Here is a 12,444-nt window from a genome sequence, read left to right as displayed (position 1 = left end):
TGGGTGGTACACAGTTTGATAACAGGGCCCAGGAAAAGGTGAGGATTCTGACCTTGATTACCTAGCCAGGTGATAGCAAAATGTGTCACCCTCCCACATTTAGCAAACCCAGTGTTGAAGTCCTGAGTCTAACATGTAAATAAAGAACACAGATGGAATTGTGACTTTCATATGTGGATCTTGCTATAGGTGAGATGGTAACTCATTTCTGGACCCAAATCACAGGTGTAATAGTGGGTCTCATATCTGAACTTAGCCTATAAGAGACATGTTGACCGTCCTATCTGGCTTTAAATAAATATTTAAGATTGTGAGTCAATATAAGCATGTAGGCCTCAGAGTGGTTTGCAACTCTCCTGCATGTTGCATAAAGCCTTCGGATGTTGTAGTGTGTCATACAATGACTCAGAACACACATGAGATTGTGACTTTTATATACACACCAAGCTAACAGTTAAAGGTGTCACTTGAAAGATGATAAAATTATTTTATTTCACAAGGCCAATATCCCTAGGAGTTGAGAATTTTTAGCTTAAATTCTTTTCCATGGGTGCAATTTAAATTATTGTTAGGTTGGATTCATAATACTGTGACTCTTCTGTTTGGACTCAGGCAACAGGGGATATTATCATATATTTCTGGGCCTATCAGCTGGATGATGTATCTCTCCTCCCAGTGCCCTGCCCACAGGTTACACTGTGATATATCACTATATGTAGCAACTAGGTAATGTGACTCTTTGCTCTTGCCTGGATCCTCACCACTGAAGACATTGTGAGATACAATTGTGTGCAAAACCTAGGTGAATTGACTCTCCCCTTTGTCCTGGACTCTACAAAAAGAGGGAATAATAACATATTGCTGAGCACAGCACCTAGTAAGTGTGACTACCCAACATTTTTTTCAATGCTGTATACAGTGGGCATGATGACATATTATTTGAGATTGTACACAGATGAAAAGACTATCTGACTGGGTCCTGACTACAGAGGAGATTATAATGTACCCCTCACTAAGCATGCAGATGATGTGACTCTTCTGTCTTGTCTTTGTCCAAAGGTGAGATTGTGATATATAACTGGATTCAGCTCATATGCATAGTAATAACTCTCATACCTAGACCCAGCCAGGGGTGATATTTTGACTCTCATAGCCAGTCTTACGGCCATGGAAAAAATCCTAGATCCCTCACCAGTAAGAATTCACAGAAAAGTATGCTGCTCAGGCATATTATACCAAGCCTGAGTGGTACAAACTGTGTCATAATAGACACCAACAACCAGGTGATATTGTGACTCTTGGATGCTGCCCCAGCAGACACCATTGTCATTCTCACACATAAACAGAGCCTACAAATGAGGTACTAAATCTCTCACACATAAGCAGTCGAAGATTGAAATTGTTCTCATATATGAATCTGACCCACAGGTGGTTTGGTGATATTTGAACCATGATTCACAAGTCCTGTAGTGCTTTGATTCTCCTACTGGAATACAATCTTCAAGTGGGACTGGGGATCTTCTGACTGAATCTTGGCTATTGTTGAGATTGTGACTCCTGAACTTCAATCCAACTCATAGAAGGTGTTCGCTCTCAAACACAAAGCCAGGACTTTTGTGGTACTGTGAAACTTATTTCTGAATATTTTTGAGTTTGTGATTGACAATTATGACTTGCCTACCATCTGAGTGTTTTCAGTCTCCTACCAAGGCCCAGAGCACAGTTGAAATTGTGACACATGAACATCAAGTATCTAAGCAATGTATAACACCTTCTATGGCCATGTGCCAAAAGACACATTTACAAGTCACTTGGACAAGCACCCAGCTGATGTGAAATCTTAGCCTGAACACTGCCTACAGCTAGCATTTTGGCTTTTATCTAGGTCAATCATGTAAGTGCTGTGACTTACTTATACTGCCTTGGCCCTGTAGTTCTGGTGCATTGTGACACATAACTGGTTATTGCACCCAAGTTGTTTGGTGGTTTTTTGAGGGGGGTTCTCCCAATGAAAAGCTTTGTAACTTACCACTTGGTTCAGCAACTATGTAATCTTTCTTTTCTCTTGCCTGAGACCTGTCCAGCACACAGATTGTGACATATTGCTAAACTCAGCATCAAGGTGAGGTTACTCTCCTGCTTTGATCCTTCACACAGGGGTCATTGTGACATATATTCAGGACAAATGAAGAGGTGAAGTTTATCTTGTCTCTTGCCTAAACCCTCCCCACAGGGAGGATTTGGATATATCACAGAAACCAACATCCAGTTGATGTGACGACTCTTCTAGAGTCCTTCCCACAAGGAAGATTGTGACATTTCACTGGTCCTGAACCCACTCAGGTGAAGTGACTTTGCTTTCTTCTCCTTGACAACAGGTGATGTGGTGCCAAATACCTGAGACCAAATCAAAGGCCTTATGATGACTCTTGTACCTGGAGCCAGGAGGAGCAGGCTGGTGACTCTCATCCCTGATTATTTCCATGGGTGTTATTGTGACATTTACCTTTGCCCACCTGTTGAGTGATTTGATAATTTTTCCTAGTAATAGCCCACAGATGACATTTTAAATTATACCTGGGTCAAAAACCTCACTTATTTTACTCTTGTGTCTTAACAGTGTCCTCAAATAGGATTCTAACATATCTTTGGACCCATCATCTAGGTTATGTGACTCTCCTCTCCTGCATGAACACTGCTTCCAATGAAGAGTGTAGAGTTTGTAAGCACTGAATCCAAATGGCCTGATTTTATTGTCTAGGCCTTTCAACAGGAGGCAATGTGACATACGTCTGGCACCATCATTTAGGTGATATGACTCTCTTCTCCTGCCTGGACAGTCTCCACAAGAAGCATTATGTCATACAGCTGGGCCCAGTGCCCAAGTTTTGTGACTTTTCTATTACACGTCTGTAAAGAAAATATTGGAATATTTCTGGCTTAGAATTTATGTGATGTGTTTGTCCTGCTTGTTTAAGAACCACAGAGGTGAAGTTGACATATACCTATGCACAGCTAACAGGCATGATAATGACTGTCATATGTGGATCAAGCCAATAGAAATTTTGCCTTTGCCAAGCACCTGTGTGATTTCACTCTTCAGACTGGATGCTGCTGTATATGAGACTTTGATATCTACTTGGACCAAACTTGGAGTGATGTGACACTTCTGCCTGGGCCCTGCTCTCAGTAAGTATTGTGACATCACTGGATCTAGCACCCATGTGAAAACACATTCTTGCCTGAAACCTGATCACAGACATCATTGCGACATATCAGTTTTTCCACTAGTTAGAAATTTCAACTCTCCTCCCTGGAATAAGCCCTGAAGTAAAAGCAGGATAGTCACATGTTCTTAGGTCAGGCACAATGATGATGATACTCTTTTGCCAGTTCCATGCCCAAAAGAGAGGATTTTTACATATCACAGGGCCTATCTCATACGTGATATGGCTCTTCTGTTTGGGACCTGCCCACTTGAATAGTGAAATAATGCTAGGTCAGGCACAAAAGTGATGGTTCTCTTATGCTAGGGTCATGCTTTAAGCAAGGCTTTGTGACATATCTCTGGGTCTATCACCTAGGTGATGTGAGTTATGATTTGGCCCTGCCCACATGGAGCATGGTGACATAAGAGTGAAACCTGCACCTGGGTGATGTAACTCTCTTGCCTGGATCCTTTTTGTAAAGAGGGGTCATGTGAATATTTCAGGACCCAGGACTAGGTGATATGGCTCTTCAACCTGGTTTCTGCAAACATATGAAATTGTGACATATACTTAAAGAAGTACATTTGTGATATGACTCTCTTTTCCTTCCAGAGCCTTGTCTACTGGTGACATTGGGCCATATCTCTGAGTCAAAGACGTTTGTGATGTGACTCTTCTCTTCTGTCTGGGCTTTTCGAATTGGAAGATTGTGACATGTTACTTTTCTCCCTAGGTTGTGCACAAATTGGAAATTGTGGCATATTGCTTATCCCAGCAACCTAATAATGTGACTCTTCTGCTTGTGACAGAGCCACAGAAAATACTTTGACTTTACTTTGGTTCATTTTGTAAGTGTTTTGGCTCTCATAACTTTGCTGGGTTTCTTCCATCTGTGGTTGTATCATATTGCTGGCTCCAGCCTTTAGTTAATGTGATCCTGTCTCCTAGTTGCTGCTTAAAAGTGTGACATATTGCTTAGTAAAGCACCTAAGTGATGTAAAAATTCTGCCTAGATTTTTTTTGTGCATAAATGGGATTAGAACATATACTGTGATTCATTTCAAAGGCATAATGATCAACCCTATTTTAAAATTCATACAATAGGAGATATTTTTCTTCTCACTGCTTGGTTTAGGTCAATAGGTAAGGTTATTCATTGCATTTTGATACAAAGTTCACAGAAGTTTACAACACTAACTCATATCATGAAAACTTCTTGAGTGTTACAGAAAGTTTCATAACAGAGCCCAGCAAAAGTTATAGTTGTGGCTGTTGACTACACACTCAGGTCAAAGTAAAAGTTGTTACCATCCTACATTTACAAAGCCTATTGTTGAAGTCCTGAGTCTATCAAGTGAATACAACACCAACTTGAAATTGTGAATTTTGTAAGTGATTCTGGCCCACAGGTGGGTAGGTGACTCATTTCTTGACCCAGCTAGCAGGAATAATAATGGTCTCATCCCTGAAGCCAGCCTATAGGAGAGATGTTAATTGTAATACCTGGGTTTAGGGAAATATGTAAGATCGTGACTCCACATCAGTGCATACACTTCACGGAGCTTTACAACTCTTACACATGTTGTATAAAGTACTCGGATGTTGTAGAGAGTGTCACGCAATGGTCAGTAAACGTGGGATTGTGACTGTCATATACACAACTATTTAACACTTACTGGTGTCAACCTTAAAGATGAAAATATTATGTCATATGTCTTTGCCTAGTTTGCTGGTGTTGAGACTTTTTGGTATAAATTCCTTTTCATAAGGGCATTGTTAAATATCACTGGGTCAGAATCATGATAATGACTCTTCTCCCTGGGCCCTGCCAACAGGTGATATTTTCCCATATCTCTGGGTCTATAGGCTAGGTGATATGGCTCTCCTGCCAGTGCCCTGTCCACAGGGTACACTGTGACATATCAATAAATATAGCATCAGGGTAATTAGACTCTCCTCTCCTGCTTGGTGCTGTCCACTGATGAAATGTTGACATACAACTAAGTGCAAAACCTAGATGTCATTACTGTCCTCTTTGTCCTGGAATCTTCCAAGAAAGGAAGTTACTGCATATTGTTGAGCCCAACACCCACATTTGGTAAATATCTTTTTTCCTTATAAACCGGTCTACATTGGGCACGGTAACATATTACTTGAGTCTGTACCAGATGATATGGCTCTCCTGCCTGGTTTCTGTCCACATGTTAGATAGTTACATGTAATTAAGGAAGCTCCTAGTTTATATTACTCTCATTTTCTGCATGGTCCCTGCCTACTGGGGACACTGGGATGTATCTATGAGCCCATGATCTAAGTGAAGTGACTCTATTTTTCTACTTGGTCTTTAAAATGAGGGGATTGTGACCTATTGCTGAATTATTGAGTTATTTGATACTCCTTTCTTTTTCAAACCATACCCCCAAACAGAAATTTTCACCTATTGCAAGGCCCAACATGCAGATAATGTTATTCTTTTGCCTGGGTCCTGCATATAGTGCAAATTAATGCATATAGAAAGAATCATGCTGGGCCCACCACCCTGATAATGTTACTCTCAGGAATGTGCCAGAGCCACAGAAGGTATTTTGACATATTCTGAGCCCATTGTGTAGGTTTTTTGGTCCTCATAAGTTGTCTGGGTTTTTTCCACATGTGGGATGGTGTCAATTACTGAGTTCAGCACCCAGGTAATGTGACTCCAATTCCTATAGTCTGCCTGAAGAGGGCAATGTGATATAGTGCTTGGCACAGCACCTAAGTGACATTACCCTTCTTCCTAGATTTTCCCACAAATGGGACTATGACATATACCTGACTTCAGTTCACAAGCATGATGGTAAAACTTGTACTGGGAGTCAGCCAATAGAAGATATATTGTCTTTCATTGTTATGCTTAGGGCAATAGGTTAGGTCTTGCATAGCAAAATTGTACAAAGCTCACAGAAATTTACAACACTATCTCATAATGTGTATACTCCTGAGTGATATGGAGAGTTTCAAGAGATCGACCAGCGAAAAGACCAGATTGGGATTCTCGATTACACATTGAGGTGAAAGAAAATATTGTCACCATCACACATGTCCAAAGCCCAATGTTAAGTTCCTGAGTTTAACAAGTGGATACAGTACAAAGTTGGAATTGTGAACTTCATATGTGGATCTGGCTATAGGTGGGATGGTGACTCATTTCTGGATCCAGGTCACAGGCATAATAATGAGTCTCATTCCTGAATTCAGCCTACATGAGAGATGTTGACTCTTATAACTGAGTTTAAGGCAATATGTAACATTGTGAATCCATTTGAACAAGTAGGCCTCAGAGTGGCTTGCAACTCTCTAGCATGCTGTTTAAAGACTTTAAATATTGTGGATTGTCATACCATGGCCGGAAAACAAGTGAGATTGTGATGGTCATATACACATGCAGCTCACAGTACAATATGTCACCCTCCAATACAAGGAGATTTGGCGTATTACTAGGGCTAGTACCCAGTTGTTGAGACATCTCGGCTTAAATTCCTTCCCATGGCTGCATTGTGACATATCAGTGGGATAGAATATTAATAATATGACCCTTCTGCTTGGGCCCTGCCAACAAGGGATATTATCACATATCTCTGGGCCTATAAGGTAGATGATTTTTTTTCTCCTGCCTCTGCTCTGCTCCCACAGGACATTGTAAAATATCGTTTGACTTAACATCTACGCAATATGACTCTCTTCTCCTGTCTGTTTCCTGCTCACCCAAGAAATTGTAACATAGCAGTCATTTTGAAATCTGTATGATATGACTCTCTTTTATATTCTAGAGTCTGCCAAGAGAGGGGCTAATTACATATTGCAGATCCCAGCACTTAGATGGAGTGACTCTCCCCTTTTCTTCTACCCTGTATATAGTGTGCTTGATGATATACTATTTGAGACAGTACCCAGGCAATGCGGCTCTTCTGAATAGGTCCAACGTATGACTGAGATTATACTGTATTACTGGCTCAGCTTCCAAGTAATGAGACTCTCCTCCCTTGTTTCTGCTCACAGTGGAAATTGTGACATATAGCTGAGTTAAGCACACATGTGCAAAAATAACTCTCATACCTACACCTAGCCACTAGAGATATTCTGACTATCATATTCAGTCTCACTGTCATGGGTGAAGTCTTAAATTTTTCACTTGTATAAAATTCAAAAAGAATTATAACACTCAGATATATCATATGAAGCCTTAATGATACAAAGAGTGTCATAACAGAGACCAGCAACCAAGTAGGAATGTGATTCTTGTATGCACACCTAGATGATACAATTATCATTCTCACACATGAAGAGAGTCTAGAAATGAGGTGCTAAATGAAACACATAAAAAAGGGTTGAAGGCTGTGAAAATTACTCTCATACATGGATCTGATTCACAGGTGGTTTGGAAACATTTGAACTACGATTCAGCACAACTGTGGTGCTGTGACTTCCCTACTGGAACAGTCTTAAAGTGGAATTGGGGCTCATATACATGGATCTTGCCCATTTTTTAGATTGTGACTGTTCTATCTCGACCCAACTCATAGAGAGTGAAATTACATACATGAAACCAGGACTTCTGTAGGATATTTCTGAAACTTTCTGAGAGTGTGATTGGGACTGGTAACTTTGCTTAGCACATGGATAATTTGACCCTCTTTTCTAGGCCCAGACCATAGATAAAATTGGGCCATATGTGTAACAAGCAACTAAGCAATGTGTAACAACTTCCCTGGCTCTGCCTAAAATGGCACTTTTTAAATATAACAGGGGCCATTTCCTAAGTGATGTGAATTATCTCCCTGAAATCTGTGTACAAAGAGAATTATGTTTTACACCTGGGTCCATCATGTAAGTGATGTGAATCCCTTCCACTGCCTTGGCCCTGCACTTGCAGTGCCATTGTGACATATAAGTGGGTACTCCTTCTAGTTAAAGTGATTCCCCTCTTTGAGTTCTGCCAAGAGGAAGCATTATAACATATCACTTGGCTCAACACCTAGGTGATGTTTCTTCACTTTGGTCTGGGCCCTGACCACAGGGAGATTATGACATATTGCTGAGACCAGCACCAATATGAGGTGACTCTCCAGCCTTGATACTATACATAAGGTGCATTTTGACATATATCTAGGACAATTGCCTAGGTGATGTGTGTCTCATTTCTGCAAAATTCTACCCACCGAATCAGTTTTGATATGACACTGAAATCAGCATCTAGGTGATGTGACTGTTTAGCCAGGGTCCTGCCCACAAGGTGGATTGTGATATCTCTCTAGACCTGCACCCACATATGTGATGTGACTTTCTTGCCTTCTTTCTGGCCACAGGTGATATTGTGTCCATATACCTGAGACCATAATAAAAGCATAATAACAACTCATGTACCTGGAGCCAGGACACGTGCAGGATGGTGACTCTTATTTTAAACTTTTACACAGTGAAATTTTGACATATACCTATGCTCAGCCCCTGGATAATTTAATGTCTGTCTAGGTATAGACCACAAATGAGATTTTGACAAATACTTGGGCCAGAAACTTTGGTGATTTGACTGTGCTATCTTAACAATGTCCTCAAGGGGGAATGCAACATATTTCTGGACCCATCATCTAGGTTACATGACTCTCCTTTTCTGCCTGTACCCTGCTTCCTTTGCTAATTTCATCATTTATAAGAACTGGTACCATATGATATGACTCTCTTGCCTGGACTCTGTCAACAGAAGGCATTGTAACATATTTTTGCTCCCATCATTTATGTGATATGACTCACCTCTCCTGACTAAACACTGCCAACAATGGACATTGTGCCCCTTAGCTGGACCTATCTTAGATGTTATGTGACATTCTTGACAGAACAGTGCCTACAAAGAGATATTTGGAATATTTCTGGTCCAGCATTTAGGTGACATGGCTGCTCTGCCTCCTTCATAAACACAGAAGAAATTGTAACATATCCCTAGGCATGGCTCACAGCCATCATCATGGCTGTAATATATAGACTCAGCCAATAAAAGATATTTTGACTCGTCACTAGGTTTAGGGACATGCATGATGTCCTGGGTCACCTTGTCATACAAAGCCCACAAAAGATTACAACATTCACACATATTTTACAAAGTATTTGGGTTATACAGAAAGAGTCAAAGCAGGGTTCATAACTGGTGAAATTGTGAATCTTGTATGGGCACACCCAGCTCACAGTGAGCACTGTCATCATCTCAAATGGATAAAGCCAACTATCACGCATGAAAACAGGACATGTGTGGTATTCTTATTTAGAATTTTCTGACAGTGTGATTGTGATATAAATATTTGTGAAGCACCTGTGTAATTTGACTCTCCAGACTGTTTTCAGTCCATATATGGGAGTGTGATATTTATGTAGGCTAACCTCCAGGTGATGTGACTCTCATGCCTGGGCATTTCTCTTAGGATTGTGACATATCACTGGATCTAGCACCTATGTGATGTTACATGCTGGTCTGCCCAATGCCCACCAAAATTATTGTGACATATTTCTGTGCCCACCTCACAGTTGCTGTAACTCTCCTCTGTAGAATGGACCCTGCACAAAGGAAGTATAGTAACATATTGCAAGGCCAGGCACATGGGTAAGGGTATTCTTTGGCCAGAGCCATGCCCAAAAGAGGGTACTGTGATATACCTCTGGGTCTATTACCTAGGTTATGTGGCTTTTCTACTTTGGCCCAGCCAACTTGGAGAGTGACATAATTCTGGGCTAGGCACACAGGCGATGGTGCTCCTTTGCCAAGACTATGCTTCACAGAGGACATTTTGACATATATCTGGGCCTATCACCTAGATGAAGTGAGTCCCTCCTTAGGCCCTCCTGACATGGAGCATTGTGGCATAAGCAGAGAACCTGCACCAAGGTGATGTAATTCTTTTGCTTGGGTGTTGTCCTAAGAGAGCCTTGTGATATATCTCAGGATCCAGCATTCAAGTGCTGTGGCTCTCCTGCCTGGTTTCTGCCCACATGTTACACTATGACTTTCCTAGGGAAACATCTAGGTGATATGGCTCTCCTCCTGTTTCTGAGCTTTGCCTTCTGGGGACATTTGAACATATCTCTGAACCCATGACCTAAGTGTTGTGACTCTCTTTTTCTGCCAAGCCTTCACAATAGGAGGATTTTGACACATTGTTGAGACCAGCACTCAGGACATGTGACTCTTCTCTTTTTCTGCAACCAAGCCCACACAAAGAAATTTTGACCTATTGCAGGGCCCAACATCCAGATGATGTTACTCTTCTTCCTGGGTTCTGCAGAAAGGAGAAATTATGGCATGTAGCATACTGCATATTGCTGTGTCATGTACATTTATGATGAGACTTTCCTGCCTGTGCAGGAGCCAGCCAAGATATTGTGACATATCCTGGACTCACTATGTATGTGATTTGGCTCCCTTAACATGGCTGCTTTTTTTTTTTCACATATGGAATGCTGTCATATTGCTGGGTCCAGAACCCAGTTAATGTGACCCAATTTTATGCACCCTGCCTAGAGAAGACATAGGGACATATTGCTTGGCACAATACCTAGGTAGATATTATGCTCCTGCCCAAAGTTTGCCCGTAAATGGGATTAAGACATATACCTTGCTTCAGTTCACAGTTCACATGTATGATGATCAAACTTATATTGGGTTACAGCCAACAGGAGATATTTTGCTTTTTATCATTGAGCTAAGGGCAATAGTTAAGGTCCTGGTTTGCATACTTGTACCAATCTCACAGAAATTTACATCACTAACTTGTACGGTATAAACTCTCTGGTGGTAGGGAGGGCCTTTAGAGGTATCAGGGCCCAACAAAAGTTCAGATTGTGATTCTTGACTACACATTCAGGTGAAATTAAAAGTTGTTACCATCCTACATTTACAATATCCACTGTTGAGGTCCTGAGTCTAACAATGGAATACAGCACAAAGTTGGAATTGTGACTTTTTTTTTTTTTTAAATGGAGTCTTGCTGTGTCACCCGGGCTAGAGTGCAGTGGCACCATCTCAGCTCACTGCAAGTTCCGCCTCCTGGGTTCACACCATTCTCCTGCCTCAGCCTCCCAAGTAGCTGGGATTACAGGCTCCCACTACCATACCCGTCTAATTTTTTCTATATGTATTTTTAGTAGAGATGGGGTTTCATGGTGTTAACCAGGATGGTCTCGATCTCCTGACATCGTGATCTGCCTGCCTCAGCCTCCCAAAGTACTGGGATTTCAGGCGTGAGCCACCACGACTGGCCCAGATCATAGGCATAATAATGGCTCTTTTCCCTTAACCCTGCCTATAGGAGACATGTTTACTATCAAACCTGGGTTTAGAGTAATATATAAGATTGTAATTTTATATGAGTTTGTAGGCCTCTGAAAGATTTGTAACTCTCATGCAGATTTTACAAACCCCTTGGATATTGTAGAGAGTTTCATACATTGGCCCAGGACACACATGAGATTGTGACTCTACTATACATGCTCAGCTAAAAGTTAAAGGTGTCGCCTTCAAAGATGAGGAGTTTGTGTCATATCACTGGTGCTATTACCTGGGTGTTGAGGCTTTTTGGCCTGCATTCTTTCCCATAGGTGACTTGTTACATATTGCTGGGTCAGAATAATAATAATTTGACTTTTCTGCTTGTACCCAGACAACAAAGAATATAATCACATATTTCTGTGCCTATGAGCTAGGTGATGTGTTTCTCCTGCCAGTGCCCTTCCCACAGGTAACATTGTGACATATCACTAGATATAGCACCTAGGTAATGTGAATCTCCTTTCCGTCCAGGATACTGCCCACTGAAAAAATTATGACATAACACTGAGTGCAAAAGCTAAGCAATGTGACTGTTCCCTTTGTTCTGGACTGTGCCAAGACAGGGAATTATAACATATTGCTGATCCCAGCAAGTAGAAAATGTGACTATCTATAATTTTTCAACCCTGTGTATTGTGGGAAGGATGACATATTTTTTGAGACTGTAACCAGGGCATATGACTCTTCTGACAGGGTCCTGATTAAAAAGGGGATTACAAAGTATCCTTGGCTAAGAACGAGATGATGTGATTCTTCTGTATTGTCTCTGTCCAAAAGTGAAATTGTGCCATATACATGGATTCAGCGCATATACACAATAATAACTAATACATGGGCCCAGCCAAGGGAAATATTTCCACTCTCATAGCCAGTCCTATGGTC

Source organism: Homo sapiens, chromosome Y (assembly GCF_000001405.40).
Source record: "Homo sapiens chromosome Y, GRCh38.p14 Primary Assembly".
NCBI lineage: Eukaryota > Metazoa > Chordata > Mammalia > Primates > Hominidae > Homo > Homo sapiens.
This window is presented reverse-complemented; position numbering follows the sequence as displayed.